Here is a 19,005-nt window from a genome sequence, read left to right on the forward strand (position 1 = left end):
ACCCAGCAGACTTCCTCCTTCCTATAAGGAGACCAGTCATCAGATTAGAACTCACTCTAATTTAGTATGACCTTACCTTAATTTGAGTACATCCTCAGAGACCCTATTTCCAAATAAAGTCACATTCACAGGTTCCAGATGGACATGAATGGGGGCAGGGTACTCAGCCCAGTACAGTGAGTACAAGGAAAGCTGGTGAGCACCGGGTCTAATTTAGTATGACCTTACCTTAATTTGAGTACATCCTCAGAGACCCTATTTCCAAATAAAGTCACATTCACAGGTTCCAGATGGACATGAATGGGGGCAGGGTACTCAGCCCAGTACAGTGAGTACAAGGAAAGCTGGTGAGCACCGGGGCCCTGGCCGATGTTCAGCGACATGAACTTGGTGGGATTCAGTCATGCCAGCGCCAGCGGTGCACAGATGACAAGTTCATCCCTAGCCAGAGTCAGCTGGGTGGACACAGTGGAAGGTCAAGGGACAAGGAAATGTGCAGTTTAAACAACTGGCCCTGGAGTTCAGGCTAGGGAGGGGTGTTAGGATGCTGGAAGTTTAAGGGCTTGCAGGAGTGGGGAGTGTCCCAGTAAGATCAACAAAGGGTCTCTGTTAGGACCAAGGGACAGATGGGGCTCTGAAGCAGCACATCATCTCAGAGTGGCTACAGCGAAATGTGGAAGTACAGAAACTGAGGAAGGGTGAGGCCAGGGGCGGGGGTTGCGTAATAGTCCTCAGGGTAACATTGATATGATTGACAGGGACTCCAACAAACATGGTTAAAAATAGCTTCCTGGCTGGGCGCGGTGGGTCATACCTGTAATCCCAGCACTTTGGGAGGTCGAGGTGGGCGGATCACCTGAGGTCAGGAGTTTGAGACCAGCCTGGCCAACATGGTGAAACCCCGTCTCTACTAAAAATAAAAAAAATTAGCCAGGCGTGGTGGTGCACACCTGTAATTGCAGCTACTCGGGAGGCTGAGGCAGGAGAATTGCTTGAACCCAGGAGGCAGATGTTACAGTGAACCACTGCACTCCAGCCTAGGCGACAGAGGGAGACTTCGTCTCAAAAAGAAAAAAAAAATAGCTTCCTGATGACAAAAGATCCAGGAACCCCTGTTCAGAGCCTGCTGTACAAACCAGGAGGCTGTGCAGCACGTGCTCTAACCCGAGGCACCATATCCTGGCCTCCCTCCAGGCCCGCAGCACATAGCATGGTCCTAGCCCCGAGCATCGGCTTGACCTGGGAGCTGATGAGAAATGCAGACTCCCAAGCTGTGCCCCAGACCCACTGAATCAGAATCTGCATTTTCACAAGACCCCCAGGTGATTCCTGTTCTCACTAAAATTTGAGTCGCACTGCCCTAGAAGTCCTCAAAGGCTCACACAGCTGCCGGCAGCCCCGTTTGTGCAGAGCGGGAAGTCCACCAAACCTGAGACCCGCTCATCCCCTCCTCTGCAAACTCAGGCACCTTCCTACCCTCCTGACCTGCCGGAGTGCCTGCCTCTTCACCAGGTGCAACTAACTGGGCCACAACAGTTGCTGCATGTTCCCGCATCTTACCGGACACTGACAGACCAGAAGTCCAGGTTCCCAGAGACGCCACTCCTAACAGGACTAAGCTAAGAGATTTTGAAGTCACTCAGAAAAGTGCCTGGGGCAGGCTGGGAGGAGGAGTGTAAGGGGCCAACAGATGACAGCAACAAGCAGGGGAGGAGGAGGTGACCTAGCTATGCAACATGGGCGGGCTGGCAGTCGAACAGAGATGGGCCACCTGTGTGGGTGCCGATCTGAGTTGCCTGCCGTATGTGCCAGCTACCAAAGCAATGTTGTGGTTCTAGGCATGTGCGTTTCAGGTTTGTTCATTCCAAAAACATGTGTATGTGTGCCAGGTTAGGACAGTGGTGTGGAAGTATGGCTCAGTGGCCGGGTTAGGGCAGATTCCAGCCAGTACGAGTCTTACTTACAAAAGTTTGCTTTCTTAATTATATGCCTCTCCAGTTACTAACTTCCTGATTGTGTGGCTAGCTGGATACTGGACAGCTGGACAGGAAGGGGAAGGACGAGGACATGGGCCCCAGCCTCTGATGTGCTTCTAGCCTGGTTGGGGAAAGAGAGCTCACCCTTCAGAAACTACCAGAGCATACAATCCGATATCCTGTGATTCCCAGGCAGGGTCGTGGGTGCTGTTGCCTGGGTCCCAAATATGCTTCAAGGCTTGGTAAAAAGGATGCTGTACCAGGGGACCTTGGGCCGCCTGCAAACTGTGCCCTTGGGCACATCCCAAGCCTCAGTTTCATCTTCTGTCACGCGAGGTTATGCCCCACTCCGGCCTCCAGCCCAGGGTAGCTGGGAACATGAAGTGAGGCGCAGTGGCCGGGAGTCCTCATAGAACATCAGCTGACAAGCCTGGCAGGAGAGATCATGAAGGGCCCGCATGCATCTGCTAGGCTTCGTTCCCACAAACGGGGTGCCGTAAACAACGGAAGTGTATTGTCTTGTGGTTCCGGAGGCCAGAAGCCTGAAGGAGAGTCTGTCCCAGGCCCCTCTTGCCTCTCTGCCCTTGGCTGTCTTCATCTTTGCCCAGGTTCTCCCTGCATGTCCAGTTTTCTCCTTTTTATAAGGATTCTTGTGTCCTGAAAGAACCTCCTTAAAAACAACTAAAACCAAGAACTTCTGGGGCTGTTCACACATTGTTCGAGTCACCCCAAGATCGTTCTGGCATGCTGAGCTGAACACCACCATCTTTGTTCATTCTCTCTCTAATGGGCAAAGCAGGATCATCGAGTTGAAAAGTTGTAAATAATGAGTATATTTATCCCGCTATTTATTTTTTCAATAACTGTGACCTCCTGCACTGTGAATGCTCTGTGACATGAGATTCTTAGTTTAATAAAACTGTCATTAAATTTGAATGAATTGATATTATTGGTTACTGAACACTGGCATGAGTTTATTTTTATTGTGAAGAAAAAATCCAGTCATATTGGATTAAGACCCTAACGACCTCATTTTAACCTGTTACTTCTATAAAGACCCTATCTCCAAATAAAGCCACATTCTTAGGTACTGAGGGTTAGAACTTCAACATATGAATTTGGAGGGTCACAGTCAACCCATAATAGTCCCCTTTAGGCTTCAGGAAGGGCATGGATCTGAGGCCTTATGAAAAGGTTTAGAAATGTAAGGTCCTTGCAGAAGGAATTGCTTTCCAAGGAATGGCACTGATAGAACAGTTAGGAGAAAGAATACAGGCTTCTGGTGACCTGCTCTTATAAAATAAATGTGTTGTTGTCCCCTGCAGGCCTTGGGGACATGGCAGTCTCCAACACCATAGGAAGCAACGTGTTTGACATCCTGGTAGGACTTGGTGTACCGTGGGGCCTGCAGACCATGGTTGTTAATTATGGATCAACAGTAAGTTCCTCTCACCTTTAACAGATGTGTTTTACCCAGAAGGCTAGTGGTGTTGGCCCAGTTCCAGCCAGAGGCTCTAGGAGACGACCTCCTCCTCTCCTTGGCACTCAGACACCCATTTTCCATGGCGGCTTCTAGAGCACCTTAGGGATGTCTACACTTCCACTCCTCACCTCAGCCCGCTGGCGTGCCTCTCCCCATCCCAGGCTGTCTCCTCAGATGAGCAGGGTCGTGACTTGAATCCGTATTTTCCTGACCCTCCACGACCATGTGGTCACCTGTAAACACCTGTGTTTTCCTGATGAGGGAATGCATTGGGCCCAGGCATGCTGGGATTTCTGGATGGATTGGCTCTGAGCAGTCAAGAGACTCAGGGCACGTGTGTTTGATTTTCCAGGTGAAGATCAACAGCCGGGGGCTGGTCTATTCCGTGGTCCTGTTGCTGGGCTCTGTCGCTCTCACCGTGAGTCTTTACAATTCCAAAACAGATGCCTCATGCATACTTGATTTCATCTGATTCCGCCTCGTCACTTACGTGACTCTGTACACCCCTGTCACTTCCCTTGGTAGTGAAGGATAAAGGCAAGAAAATGTAGACGTTCATAGACACACCCAAGTCCAGTCTTTGCCAAGAGCATTGGCACTCTCGCTGTGCTTTTGCTGAGTACATAAGAAGTCCCCAGAGGAAGCGAATTGCATTTCCTTTCTTGCTGCCTGGTCCAGTTCCTCTCTAGTGCCAGTAGGAGAGAGATCCTCCCCTGCGCATCTGAGCTGACAAATGGGAGGCATGACATCCCTCAGGATGGCACGTCGGAATAATTGAGGCCTCCCTACCCTACATGTCCAGGTCTGTGCTGAGCACTTGACTTCAGCGTCACTTTATTCTATCCTTACAACCACCTGATGAGGGAGGTGCTATCATTCCCATTGCAGAAGAAATCGGGGCTCAGGGGTTAACTTTCCCAAGGTCACAGAATTGGGCAATGGCAAAGCTAGGATTTGAACCCAGGTTGGTCTGTCCTTAGGGAACTCTGACTTTTTACTCGCAGTGCTCCAGTGAGGTTCCTGGGATCCAGCCCCAGGAAGCCTTGATCGAGGGACAAGGAGGAAGGCAGTGGAAGGAAAGATAGAAGGATCAGGGAGGAATGTAAGATAATTCCGTGCTTTAACCCTCTACCCCAAACACACACACACACACACACACACACACACACACACACACACACACACACACACACACAGAGAAAGATTTGCCCAGCCAGGGGTCCATAGGAGCCTTGGAAATTGTGCTAAGGAGACAAGGGAAAAGACCATGGTTCCACGCTCTGAAGCACAGGGGTCATCCAGCTAAAGCCCCCATTTGTCTCTAGAGAAGGCCTGGGCAAGGAGGACCACATGCCTACGACCAGCCGGGAGGAAGTGACGTGCCTGCCTGGGGAGGGCCGGTCCCATGAGGGCGGCTGCTGTGTATCCCTGAGTCAATGCGGCTAGGACAGAGACTCGCCCTTTCATGGGGCAAGTCTAAGCCCTCTAGGGCTTATTCTGGTCAAACTGAGGATCAGACTGCAGCACCCCGCTACACTTGCCCACATTCTGCAGAATGTTCTAGGTTTCCCCACATAGGTGTCGCTTTCCAGTAGAAATGCCTCTTGTATTTCTTTGCCCTGCAAGCCCAGTTCCCACACTCTGTCCTCCCAGGTCCTCGGCATCCACCTAAACAAGTGGCGACTGGACCGGAAGCTGGGTGTCTACGTGCTGGTTCTCTACGCCATCTTCTTGTGCTTCTCCATAATGATAGAGTTTAACGTCTTTACCTTCGTCAACTTGCCGATGTGCCGGGAAGACGATTAGCGCTGAGTCGCGGCCCCTGGGAGCTGATCTGGACACCCTGTGACACTGGCGTTCTCCTCTCCCCTCCTTCCCCCACCACAGGTCTCTCCTGCATAGGCAGCCACTGTCCGTTCTTTCACACACTGGAAGGAAGAGCCATCGTGGTCTTTGTCTGGCCACAGGCCAGGCTGCTGGGCATCCTCCTCCTCCTTGGAGTTCCGCCCCTGCAAGGCTGGATTTGGGGGCCATTATCTGAGCAGCTTCAAAGACCCCTGAGCTGCCAACCACGGAGATGTGCCAAGCATCTCATCTCTCCTGCACACTTTAGTCAGAAGGACTTCTGCATGCAGTTTGTCTTTCTGTTCTGCAGGCAGCTTCAGAATTGAGGTCATTTGTGAGCACAAGATCTCATAGGGCAGGTGCAAAATAGGAATGTTGTTCTCAAGTGTCACCTCCAGCCCAGAGGTGGTTCCTTAGGCAGCATGTGCTCCTGGGAGCCTCTGACTTTTGCTGGAAGCAGCCACAGTTTGGAAGGGGCAAGACCTCAACCTGTTGGGGTTTAGGGCCCATGATGGCAGACATTCTACCCCTTTTCCTGGAAAAACTGGAAGAATGAAAATAATTTTTTTCTGTGGAAGAGAGAAAATGAGTGAATATTCTTCTCACTTTTATTGATGCATTCAGAGAATAAGCAATGAAATATTAAAAAATGAAACATCATATAGGTCATCATACTTGAAAATTATCATTCCATATGAAAGGATCATGATACACACCAAAAAAGTAATGATCGTAAAGACACAAATCCTCTGTATGCCATCTTGCATTGGCACTGAGGTGTTTGGTTTGGAATAGGGAAAAAGGTAAGAGACTAACGTGGAAAGGTGCTAACTCAGAGACTGGAGATTATAGTTTACAGCTGTACTTTCCAGATCTTCTATGTGACACAATGCACTGTCCTTGTGGGTTTGTCATTTATTGGTTAATGCTCTAGTTTCAAAACCACCCTGTTGAAAGTTCCAGTTATTTATATGCCCAACAAATTTCATAGCCTGCTGAACTGAACTGAGTGTGTCAGAAGTGCTGGTTAATGACGAGAAGAGATTGCCTGAAAAACAACAAACTGCTTTCTGGTTAGCTGAAGGCAAGTGTGAAAATCAGAATTTAGAATATTTAGAGCTAAGCTTCTGGAACCACGTAGTTTCTACACGTGGCAGGCCAAGAATGGGAGGCTGACTCAAAACTAGATAGAAAAATATAAAATAATCTTCGACCACTTGATAGCTCTCAAATATATATTTAAAAGATTTATGAATACAAACCATTTATGGTTTATGATTTCTAAAAAGAAAGCACAATTAATTTTATAGAGAGGTTTTTTATTTTTTTAATATTTCTATTGCAAAAGTCTATCCGATTTGATGCACTTTGAATATTGAGATATTTTGCACGGATGAATGTATGGGAACTACCCATGATGATGTAAGAGGAAAGAACATTTTTTTGTGATTCACCAGACATCACTTTAAACTTGGTGATGAGTTTAAATCCAGTAGCTAATCCCTTCCTGAGACTCAAAGATCGTGACGCTGGTTGGAATTTCTGACTGTGCCCTTTAGGGCCTCCTGAGTTTCAAAAGGAGGAAGTGTTCGTGCTTGTGTCCCTGAAGTTCCCTGTTGCATGAGCCTGCGACAGGACCTCACCCCCACCACCAGGCTTCTATTTGGGATTCACATCAGTATTAGTATCGTAGCTACACCAAGTTCAGGCTTCTCTTTTTGTTTTTTTACCTAGAAATTGGGCTCAGTGGTCTTCAACTTGAGGACGAGGGTGATTTTCCTAAGAAATCAGCAAAGAGGGAAGGCAGGGCCCCTGTAGATTCACCAGTATAAACTTCAGCTGCAGGGATTCCAGAGCCCTCGGGACCACTCTGTCACCTTAATAGCCAAGTTCTCCTGGTTCCTCCGATCTTACAGGCTCATCCAGGTTCCAAAGTGCTTCTGTCTCTGTTTTGATTCTCCAAACTGCTCTGTGATGTATGTAGGGATTATTCTCCCCACTTAACAGAAAGTAGTGTCTTGGAGAGGTCAAGGGTCTCTAGTTCAATGGCCAGTCATAGCAGAAGGGAGGCCAAGCACCAGTCCATCACCCCTCCCAGGCCAGCCTCTGTAAGTTGGCCACACTTGGGGAGTGAGTGTGGGTATGACTTTACCCTCCTGGTTGGTTCTTACTGTTTGAGTCAAAACCTCATCAATATATCATTGACTCCTGGGTTCCTCAGGTCATTTCCTAATATCTGTCCCTATCCAATGCCTCTATTTTATCTTGAAAAAAGGACCAAAAATTATTTTTAGCTATGGCAAGGCACAGGCCACATGGCCCCTGATGGCGTCCCTGCTGGTTTTCAATTCTCTGAAGCCTTGTGTAGCTTTCAGAGCACACGTATCCTAATTACCCTCCTCTTCCTCAGCAGAACCCATTTGAGATTCTAAATGAATACTCTTAGTCTCTAAAGTTGCAGTTAGAAACTAAAATAATGTTTTTTAATATGTAATATGCTCCTCTTGGCTAATTTTCTTTTGACTTTAATGTGCCAATGTAACTTCCTTTAAAGGATCTATGCATTTATTAAATCTGGAAAACTATATGTACACTGTAGGTGGAAAATTCTCTTTTTTAACTAAATATTTTTCCATCACAAATTTAAAGAATTGCATGATTAATTAGGCTTTCATTTTTAAATTACGCTTTCATCACTACGCAGGATTACTTTATTTTATTCCCAAAGCTCATTAGCATGGGATAATTACTCTGCTACAGAAATAGGCAATTTAAAAAAATGAATTTAGCTCTTCTCATTGGGGGCAGAAAAGAAAAAAAAAACCATTGCACTCAGATGGAAAATGCCTATAGACACAGGAGCAGGTGGTTCCTGTGGACTTCTGGTTTGGAATTTTGCCTCACCAGGTCAAGCGTGGTTAGGGTGGAAGGTGTCCAGTATCTTGAAAACCTGGCCCTGGAGGAAGGTTCTGGGTCAGCTGCAATGAGAGACTGGTGATTAAGGGCACCGTGGGCAGGACACAGTCCTCGCCTTACCCACCCCATCCTTCCTGTTACCCACAGTCTGCTGGCCTCCATGCCTCTTCCCCTTGTCACTTGTGTCTCCTCCTTATGCACAGAGCTGCCTGCCTTTATGAATTTTCTTTTCTTTTTTTTTTGAGACAGCGTCTTGCTGTGTCACCCAGGCTGGAGTGCAGTGGTGCCATCTTGGCTCACTGCAACCTCCGCCTCCCAGGTTCAAGCAATTCTTGTGCCTCAGCCTCCTGAGGATTACAGGCGTGCGCCACCACACCCAGCTAATTTTTGTATTTTTAGTAGAGACGGGTTTTCACCATGTTGGCCAGGCTGGTCTCAAACTCCTGACCTCAGGTGATCCACCCACCTCGGTTTCCCAAAGTGCTGGGATTACAGGTGTGAGCCACCACGCCCAGCCTGCCCTTGTGAATTTTCACCTGCTCCTTACCCCTCACCTGTTAGGACTGTTTCTTGCTTTTGCCCCTGTCGGTCCCCTGCCTTAACAGACCTAAGCAGCTGATAATGCACCAAGCTTCCCTGACCAGGTGGGGTGTGTCTATCACCCAAGGGCAGTCCTACAGACCCTGACCAAAGGCCGTTCCTGGGCGGCCCAAGGTCCAGGTTTCTTCCACCTGCTCTTCCCTGTTTATGGGGATTTGCAAGCCTAATTGCATCAGCAGGAGCCCATCTCTCAGAGAACCCGGACTCCCCAAGCAGACTGGGATTTTGGGAAGGGTGTGGGGGGTGTCATTGCTGGATACCCGTCTTTCTGCCTGTCCTTTCTCCTCTCTGAATCCTGGGGCCCCTCTCCCTCCTTAAAGCTGGAGTGGACAGAGGGACAGGAGAGGATCAGAGTTCATCCCCCCTGGGAAAGAGCAAGAGCGAATGAATCCCAGCGCCAGCGGCTGAGGCTGCCTTCCGTGCCTTCCCTCCATGGGCGACGGGTGAGTGGGGCTTAGGAAACTGGAACAGGGAAGGTTCTGTTACCACACTTTGGAACTTTCCCCCTGGGATTCAGCAGTTGAGAAGCAGAGACCTTTCTGCCCTGGGTGAATGGGTCCTTGGGGGAGGGGTTGGTCTTTTGTCTCGCATCCCCATCTTTCCTTTCCTTCTGGGCCATGCTCCTCCCTGGCTGGAAAAAGGTGGCTGTGCTGTCCCTGTGATCCACTCTCAGCAAATGCGTGTGGCTCAAATAAACAAAGAACTTACCTGTTAGAGTGAAAATCCTCAGGAGATTGTACCCAAATGCCATGCTCTAAATATTCATGGTCTCTCTAATGCCCTCAAGACGTGATTTCCATGGGAACCATCCTCCCCTGGGGGCAGTTAGCAGGAGTACGTGGGGCACGTGAGGTGGTCCTCCTTTCAGCACACCGTGCCCATAGAAACTTCTAGAAATTTCTGAAAATGCTCTGTGGGCAGCTCTTGGGTGGCAGTAAGTCCATCAACCCCCATCTACCCCGGGCCTGAAGCGCTGCGCTTGCTCTCTTTATGTGTGTGCACCCGAAGGATTTCCTGGTCTCTGTAGCTGATCCTGTGAGCCCCTCAAGCATGAAGCCTCCCTTGGGGCTTCTCAAAGCATGGAGAGGGGCCCTTCCTGTCCTTTGGGAAAATCTTCCCCACTGTGTCAGTTATATGGGAACAAGAGTGATGGGGTCTTTCTCTAGGCCTGTGCCACAGGACAGAGAACACGGGATTCTGCTGTTCGCTTTGAGCCACAGCCTTTACCAGCCCGGCTTGTGTGGGGGGCCCCTTCGCCTTGCTGCAAAGAGCTGTTCCCCAAAGGGCATATCCACAGGGTACAGGTTTTAAAAAGGCTTTTTTTTTTTTTTTTGAGACAGGGTCTCGCTCTGTCGCCTAGACTCAGTGCAGTGGCGCCATGTTGGCTGGTTGCAACCTCCACCTCCTGGGTTCAAGTGATTCTCCCACCTCAGCCTCTCTGGTAGCTGGGACTACAGGCACGCGCCACCATGCCCAGCTAATTTTTGGATTTTTAGTAGAGAAGGAGTTTCACCATGCTGACCAGGCTGGTTTCGAACTCCTGACCTCAAGTGATCCGCCCGCCTGGGCCTCCCAGAGTGCTGAGATTACAGGCGTGAGCCACCGCACCTGGCCAAAAAAAGGCATTTTGATTTAGGTTGCTGTGTTTGCTTGTTGATAAAGAAAACTCAATCGGGACACTAGTTTTGTGCTCAGCTTTAGGCCGGGTAGCTAATGGGAGGATGTCCAGCCTGTCACTGTGCTCCCAGCGCAAGGAAATGGGTGCCCACCTGGAATCAGGAGAAGAGGCTTTTCCCTCCTGTTCTGCAACCAGGGTGGAGCTATCTTTCCAGGGAAGCCAGCTGAGAGGTTTTAGGGCTTTGGTTATTTTATGGGGGTTTTAAACCTCCTAACTTTTCAATGACAAATGGCTCCCAGGTGCCATAGTCTCTGTTAAATCCTCAAACATTCACAAGCACACACTGCCAGGGGCACGGGTTGTCTTTCACCTGCATGTTTCTAAGGCTCTTTATTCAATCTCACGGTGTCAGTGTCCAGTTGTCAAAGTTATGAATCTTCCTCCTGCTTCTAAACAGGGCTGACAGTATACTCTCGTCTAGTCTAGGAACATGTCTGCTGCTGGGATACCCTGGTACCAGGATTTGAGGGCCACGGGTGGCATCTCTGAGAGCTGAAAATCCACAGAGTGCCTGTGGGAAAGCCAAGCCCTTGGCTGTGTGGCTTTTCTATCCCTTGGATTTACAGGTCTGGGAATTGGCTGCTTCTTAGTTATAACCCCAGTGACAAATGCTGGCTTAAGCCACACCTGTTCCCACTGTTGCTAGAATTCAAACAGTTGCTTTTTTTTTTTCTTTTTGAGAAAGGGCCTCACTCTGTTGCCCAGGCTGGAGTGCAGTGGCTTGATCACAGCTCACGAAAGCCTCAAACTCCTAGGCTCAAGTGATCCTCCTGAAAAGTAGGTAGGACTACAGGCACATGCCACCACATACAGCTAATTTGTTTTCATTTTTTTTTTTTTTAGAGACAGGATCTCGCTGTGTTCCCCAGGTAGGTCTTGAACTCCTGGCCTCAAGTGATCCTCCTGCCTTGACCTCCCAAAGTGCTGGATTACAAGCGTGAGCCCCTGCACCCGGCCCAAGCAGTTGCTTCTTTTTTTCTCTTTTTTTTTTTTTTTGAGATGGAGCCTCACTCTGTTGCCCAGGCTGGAGTGCAGTGGCGCGATCTCCACTCACTGCAAGCTCCGCCTCCCGGGTTCATGCCATTCTCCTGCCTCAGCCTCCCGAGTAGCTGGGACTACAGGCGCCTGCCACCACACCCAGCTAATTTTTTGTATTTTTGGTACAGACAGGGTTTCACCGTGTTAGCCAGGATGGTCTTGATCTCCTGATCTCGTGATCCGCCCACCCCGGCCTCCCAAAGTGCTGGATTACAAGCGTGAGCCACCGCGCCCCGCCAAGCAGTTGCTTCTTATGCAACATGTTGGTTGGGACTTGTCCACGGGCCAGGCCAATAAAATTCTTAATCCTGCAGAGAGTCAGTACCCTCATCACCCCATCACTGGAAAACAAATGTTTTAAGCTATCAAGAGAGGGAATGTGCAGCTTTTGGTTTCTAGATGCATGGTTTGGTGTGATCTACCTTTGTGCCTAAAGGGAATGTCCCAAACAACAGAGCCTTCTTTGCTGTCACTCCAGAATTCTCTACACAGAATTTCCCAAGTCCATTCAGGACAGACGCGCAGTCCTCTTTCAATGGAAGAAGAGAGGACTTTTCCCCTCCTGAAAAATGACTGGAGTGTGAACAAGGCAGCTCTGTTTTTCTAAATAAGTTGTTCTTGTGAGTTTTTTCTGGCCACTGGGCATCTCTGCCCTCACTTTTCATCCCTGCCCTCTAAGCTGCAGACCCCATGACCACACTGTCTGCTTCCTTGAGCTTCCCGCACGAGGCTTGGACCTGGGGGACCTGGAGACCCTGCGGACAGAACTGTGGCTGAGCCACTGTGGCCAACTCTTGGGGAGCTCCACAGTGGGGGTTGCTGGTCTGTGAGGCTGAGTCTCCATTTCAGAGCACACACTCCCTGGCAGGGCGCCTCTGCCTGTGTCTCCTGCCCAGCAGCCGCCAGCAGGGAATAGTTGCTGGTGTCTGAGCACAAAGAGAGCTTTGATTACCTAGAGAGGAAAAAGGCTGTCAGCCAGATGCAGCCAGGCCCAGGGGTAGATACAGGAGTTGCTAAGGAAGGGGCCGAGCCAGGAGAGGCCAGGCAGATCCACAAAGCCCAAGGGGATGCAGGCTGGGTGTGGTTTCTGAGGGAACCTACCAAATAGCAGGTAGATGGAATCAGAGGACTCTTGTGTCCTGAAAGAACCTCCTTAAAAACAACTAAAACGAAGAACTTCTGGGGCTGTTCACACATTGTTCAAGTCACCCCAAGATCGTTCTGGCACGCTGAGCTGAACACCACCATCTTTGTTCATTCTCTCTCTAATGGGCAAAGCAGGATCATCGAGTTGAAAAGTTGTAAATAATGAGGATATTTATCCCGCTATTTATTTTTTCAATAACTGTGACCTCCTGCACTGTGAATGCTCTGTGACATGAGATTCTTAGTTTAATAAAACTGTCATTAAATTTGAATGAATTGATATTATTGGTTACTGAACACTGGCATGAGTTTATTTTTATTGTGAAGAAAAAAATCTACAGCAATCTAAACTAAACCTTTCTAAGAAATCTAGCAGTCAGTATTGTAATGCAATATATCAAAATCTGTACACTGTCAATAAAATAAATGAGCACAAGTTGTCTTTCCCTAAATAGAGCTTCTATTCACGTTTTAATAGACACACACATATTTGTATTTTTGAAAGAATTCTATACACTGGAATAACAGCCATTTTAAGCCATTTCTATTTGCATATTAAGAAAAAATAAACTTCAAAAAGGATAAGGGTCGCAGCTTTTTAATGACAATGGTCGGTAATAGATGGAAACAGAGCAGAATTCTCATCACTTTCCTTGGCTAGCATGAGTGGCTCCAGAATGACCCAGTCTTACCTCAGCAGCTTCCTAGGGTGGGACCTGTAGGTGGCCCCACATTGGAAGGACCCAGCTTGGTTGTCGCCACCTTAGAAACCCTCAAAGATTTTTTTAAAAGGAGCCCCCACCTTTTCCTTTTGCAGTGGGCTCTGCAAATTACATAGCTGGTCCTGCTCATCAGAAAGAAGGTCTGTGTCACTAGCTCTTACGTCATGGGAAATTGAGGTTCGGGAGTAGAGGTTTTGGTTAATTCCTTCATTCTGCAAAACATTCCTGAGTCTTAGCTGCCATGGGTGTCACCACAAACTTTAACATGCACACGAATCAGTTGGGCATCTTGTCAAAAAAGCAGATTCTGGTTTAGCAGAAATGGGATGAGGCCCAAGAGGCTAGAGTTCTAGCAAGTTCCCAGGTGATGTCCATGCCACCTGTTGACATTGAGCAGTGAGAAGATAGATCAACCCTACTCACACCCAAGCCTGCTCACAGACGGGGCTTCTTATCGGTCTGCAGCAAGATGAGTACAGAAATCAAGAGAGAATATGAACATTGATGGAAATGTGATGAGTAATTCTGTTGGAATCTGGTTTTTTATTGCATCTTTCCAGTAATTTCTTTATATTGCATTACAAAAATATCAGTCCACAATGGATTAAAATTGTTTTAAAATATTGTTTGAATCTTGCCCACAGATATTTCAAGAAGTTCTACTTTAGATGGGCTAGAAACACCTTTCATTTTAACTCATTCCAGTTCATCTACGAGATAGGAAGTCAATTACGAAGTAGGAAGGACCCTGTCTTGGTCATTTTAGTGTGTGGGCTTTGTGGATTCTGCAGGCCTTGTACTCAAGGCTCTGGGCATCCCAGTGTCCCTCATGCTATCTGGCACTTAATCGCTTACAAAGCCAATGAAACAGAATGGGTGTCCTCCCCCCTTTACAAAGGGGTCTCTAGGCTAGTGACTGTGAGAACCAGCCTGAGAAGCCACGGCCTCTTCCATTGCCCAGGGCTGCCCGGAACAGACGAGGGAGCAGCGGTTCGGCTGAATCTGATCTGCCTGGGAGCTCGTCCCCTCAGCTGCCTTCACAGCCACAGCTGTCTCTATCAGCTTGGTTTCTTTGCTTTTTGTTTTGGATTTTCTGTTTGTTTGCTTGTTTGTTTCAGAGACAGGGTCTTGCTGTGTTGCCCAGGCTAGACTTGAACTCCTGGGCTCAAGGGATCCTCCTGTCTCAGCCTCCCAAGGACCTAGGATGACAGGCCTGGGCTACCACACCAGGCTTTCTCAGGTTGTTTTTGATGTTTCCTAAAAGTTGCTCCAGGCAATTGCAAGTTCACACAGCTCCTGGTGCAGGTGGTCTGCTGGTTCTCTGGTTCCAGGAGCAGGCCTCTCCCAGGCTTCTGTCACCTGCATTTGCTGGCTGGTGTCCACCAGGAAGAGCAAAGTCGTAGAGTGGGGAGGAGACATGGGAGTGGGTTCTGACCTCTCTCTGTCCCCACCAATGGACTCTCTTCCACGACTCAGTCTCCACTCACTGCCTGTGAGGTCTGAACATCCTGTCCTCTGCCTTGAATGTCAGATCATGGTAACCCTGGGCTTTTGCTCTCCTTGGCCATTCTGCAGGTTTTAATACTGTAGATAGTGTCCTCCTGAATAAACAAATTCTCTCTTCTGATTCTCCTCTGCTTCTGCTGCTTTTTTTTTTTTTTTTTTTTTTTTTTTTTTTTTTTGAGACAGGTTCTTGCTGTATCACCCAGGCTGGAATGCAGTGGCACGATCATAGCTCACTGCAGCCTTGACCTCCCAGGCTCAAGTGATCCTCCTATCTCAGCCTCTTGAGTAGTTGGGACTACAGGCGCATACCACCAAGCCTGACTAATTTTTGTATTATTTTGTAGAGATGGGGTTTTGCCGTGTTGCCCAGGCTGGTCTCAAACCCCTGGGCTCAAGAGATCTGCCTGCCTTGGCCTCCCAAAGTGCTAGGATTACAGGAGTAAGCCACGGTGCCCAGCCTCCTTTGCTTCATCATTTCTCATCTCCTCACCTGGCTTCTCCTCCACCTGCTCCTTACGTGAAAGTGTTTCCCTGCATTCCAACCTGGAGCCTCTTTCTCTTGCCCAGTGGTTCTCCATGCTGGCTGTCCACTGGAGTCATCTCTGGACTTGAAAACACACAGACACAGAAACATTTGTTGACTTCCGATGGCCTCACTGGGTGACCTGAGGTGACCTGTCTCATATTTCTAACATCATCACACAGGAATGTCCCTTCTCCCTCTTTATCTTGCATGACTCTGTGCCTGTCCTCCTGCTACTCCCTCTGCTTCAAACAACTTCCCCAGTTCTCTGTCTTGCAGAGGAGAGCCCATACTTCCTTCAAGGCCTTCCCAGACCCGCAGGCCAGAATGAATCACCTGCCTCTGGTTTTTATGATCTTTTGTTTGTAAGCTTGCTTCTATTGTTATTTGGTAATCATTCATTTGGAATGTTCTTGAACAAACTCAATCTGAAATATTCTCACCTGTGGCCCCCACCAAACATGGGTACCAATCTGGGGATGTCTAAACTCATCTCTCATACTGGCCTTTGAAACCTAGAAGCAACACAAAGGTTTTTTTTCACACACTGATTCATTCAACAAACATGTACTGAGGGCCTACTCTGTCCCAAGCATCATGCCAAGGGCTGGCTGCAGAGATAGAGGGAGCTAAGTGTCCCCCAATTCTGGGAGGAGGTGAACTCGGGGGCTGCAGGAGCCCAGAGAAGGGGCACCCAACCATCTCAGCAGTCAAGGAAGACATGGACTCAAGCCAAGCCTTAAAGAATGAAGGGTGTCAAGGGTGATGAAGGGGAGTCACGCACACAGACATACATTTAAATCACAGCAAACATTTTGTGATTTAAAAGGAGGCAATGAATAACTAGGAAAAAGTATGATATAGAGATTATGAAAGAATTCCAAGTAGCTCAAACCGGAAACTTCATGGGGGCTACGGTGGGCTGAATAACGCGCCCCAGAAATGTCCACATCCTAATCCTCAGAAGCTGTGACTATGTTTTCTTACATGGCAGAAGGGAATTTGCAGGTGCGATTAAGTGAAGGATGTTGAGATGGGGAGATAATTTTGGATTATATGGGTAGGTTCAAGGTCATCACACGGTGCTTATAAGAGGTGGCCAGGAGGGTCAGAGAGAGGAGATGAGCTGATGGAAGCAGAGGTCAGAATAATGTGGGGTCCATGAGCCAAGGAATGCAGGAAGCTTCTAGAAGCTGGGAAAGGCAGAAAATGGATTCTCTCCAAGTCTCCAGAAGGAAAGCACCCCTGCTGACACCTTGATTTTAGCCCAGGGAAACCCAATTTTGGATTTTTGACCTTCCGAGCTGTAAGATTATAAATGTGTGATGTTTTAAGCCACTAAATTTATGGTGATTGTTAGATCAGCCATAGGACATAGCACAGGGCCCAGGAGTGAGAGCGGGAAGAGAGAGATGCAGGTGAGGGTATGTCTGAGAGTGGGAGGGCCTTGAGGGGCAGCTAGTGGGGAGCCACTGAAGGCGGCTTCCCAGAGCAGCAGCTGCTCTGGATTCCAGTTTCTGAAGGGCCACCCGATTCAGGGTGGAGGATGGCTGGGATGAGGGAATGGTAACAAGACCAGAACAACAGCCATCAGCCAGGAGCTCAGAAATGAGGTGAGGCCGTTTGCGGAGAGGAGAGGTCGTCTCAGGGCAGATGGTCAGTGTTTGCAGGGTGACTTGTAGGTGCATGTGGAGGTGCTGTCACCCACAGAATTTGGGAACTGATTATTGAGAGAAGGGGGAGAGAGGAGGAGAGCAAAGCTCCCAGCCCTCTGACAGGGAAGCCCAGGGGAGGAGCAGGTTTGGGGCATGGGAGATGATGAGTCCCATTTGGAAACGTGGCATCTGGCAAGTCTTTGGGATTTGGGCTGCGTGATTTGGCCTCTCAGAGACCCTCATCTCATCCCCTGCAAAACTAGGATGGTGAACCTCCTGCAAAGGGTTGTTGAGCCCATTATATGAGATAATGCGTCCCTGTCACCTGGCCTGGTGCCTCCAACTTAGCCAACACCTATGCATGGCCGCCACGATGGCAGGCAGAACACAGACACCGTGCAACAAAGAGGAACTGCTCCCCTCAAAGCTTCCACTCTTGTTCCCTTGCTGCCTTCTCTCCAGAAGGCTGGTCTCCCCAGGGTGAAGGAGGGCATGATCTGGACCTCTTAAAATTTGAACACTGGGCTTGGGCGTGAAGGGGATTCTGGAGCCTCGTGAGTGCCTCAAGCCTGGGCGCCTGGGATGAAGGTTTCTCCTACAATGTGGGAGACAGCTGCCCACCTTGAGGCTTGGCCCTGGGGCTTGGGGATGGAAGAGGAGATGGGATGGGAGCCTCTCAAACTGCCTTCTCCGGGATTTCAGCTGTGGAAGGAAGAGTGTGTGAGAGAAAAGCTGTGGGAAGCAAAGGGGGCCTAGAGCTCTTGCCATGCTCCCCCTTGGGCCTCTGGAAGAAGCACTGGGCATGGTGGTCAAAGCCAGCTGGGCTGGCCCACAGAGTCCAAGGGAGGGCAGCATGGCCGGGCATGCAGGGAGCCAGCTTCCCATGTGTGGTGCTGCTGACCTGCAAGCAGGGGCTGACTTGGGCCTTCTGGGCCAGAGAGCTGGATGTGGCAGAGGGGTCTTCGGGTCCAGTGAGTTGCTGGAGGCTGAGCTGACACAGTGCAGCCACTGGGCTGTGACCAAGCTGGGACTGGACTTCTTGTGCAACCCCTCAGGCTGGAGCAAACTAAAATAGTCAGTCATCCCAGGCCAGGGCCGTCTTCTTGGGGATGTTACCCATGCAGTTGCACAGAGCTTGTGCTTAGAGGGGGCCCACACTTAGAAGTGTCCTGCACTAGGCTTAATGCTCTGCTGTTGCAGTCTGTAATTCTTGAAATCTGTACCTTTTTTTTCAGGAGGGGGTGAGTGTTTTTATTTTGCACCGGGTCCCAAACATTTCGTAGCACATCTTCCCATAGGCCAAGGTCACCCATGAGGACCACACCCTGCATGTCAGAATCTGCAGCTTCTGTCAACGAGACCCTTGGGCAGTGGGGACATTGAGTCTCCCTATCTGGTCCTTGTCCAAGGCTTCACTAATTAGCGGCAGCTGAATTGAACCCAAACTTCTCCAACCATGCCTCTTGGCACCCCTGTCAGGGGTAGGGCACCAGGCAGAAGTCACTGAAGAGCCCACCCAACTAGACATCTGTTCTACTCTTATAAAAATCAATAAAGGAAAAAAATTAAAAATAAATCAGTAAAGGGAAACTGACATGTGTCATGAACTTACAATGTGACAGACACTGTTAGCCACTTTCCATATACTCCTCACAAGCAGCCATGGAGTAGGTATACCTCTACCCATCTTCCAGAAGAGAACACTTGGGCCCAGAGAGGGTAAGAAGAAACTTGCCTAAGGTCACACAGCCAGCAAGTGGGGCTGAGACAGGAACCTGGGCTTGTGGTTCCAAAGCAGCCAGAGCTTCTGCCCCTCCCTGCCCCACCCCGGCACCCAGCCAACCTCAACAGCTCTTTAAGGAAGCGAGTCCCCATTTGGGAGTGTTCTTACCTGAAGTCCCAGAAGCCTCCTGCTGA

General features: G+C 49.1%; 1 protein-coding gene across 8 annotated transcripts in view, besides 2 other annotated features; it reads left to right on the top strand.

Moving 5' to 3' along the window:
- SLC24A4 (solute carrier family 24 member 4) overlaps positions 1–13,118 on the top strand; it is a 178,901-nt gene extending 165,783 nt beyond the window's left edge. For all 8 annotated transcript variants that reach the window (NM_153648.4, XM_011536436.3, XM_011536437.3 and 5 more), the window contains 3 exons: positions 3,302–3,414; positions 3,812–3,877; positions 5,113–13,118. In NM_153648.4, coding sequence (NP_705934.1) covers positions 3,302–3,414; positions 3,812–3,877; positions 5,113–5,265 — 332 coding nt within the window. In that variant the 3' untranslated portion in view covers positions 5,266–13,118. The remainder of the gene's footprint in view (positions 1–3,301; positions 3,415–3,811; positions 3,878–5,112) is intronic.
- Positions 11,896–12,397: an enhancer, noted in NCBI's record as "H3K4me1 hESC enhancer chr14:92966603-92967104 (GRCh37/hg19 assembly coordinates)". NCBI's record gives its function as "activates a minimal SCP1, AML or CMV promoter by ChIP-STARR-seq in primed H9 embryonic stem cells {active_cell/tissue: H9 hESC(primed)}" and the evidence as "EXISTENCE:reporter gene assay evidence [ECO:0000049][PMID:30033119]".
- Positions 12,398–12,897: an enhancer, noted in NCBI's record as "H3K4me1 hESC enhancer chr14:92967105-92967604 (GRCh37/hg19 assembly coordinates)". NCBI's record gives its function as "activates a minimal SCP1, AML or CMV promoter by ChIP-STARR-seq in primed H9 embryonic stem cells {active_cell/tissue: H9 hESC(primed)}" and the evidence as "EXISTENCE:reporter gene assay evidence [ECO:0000049][PMID:30033119]".

This window comes from Homo sapiens, chromosome 14 (assembly GCF_000001405.40).
Source record: "Homo sapiens chromosome 14, GRCh38.p14 Primary Assembly".
Taxonomy (NCBI): Eukaryota; Metazoa; Chordata; class Mammalia; order Primates; family Hominidae; genus Homo; species Homo sapiens.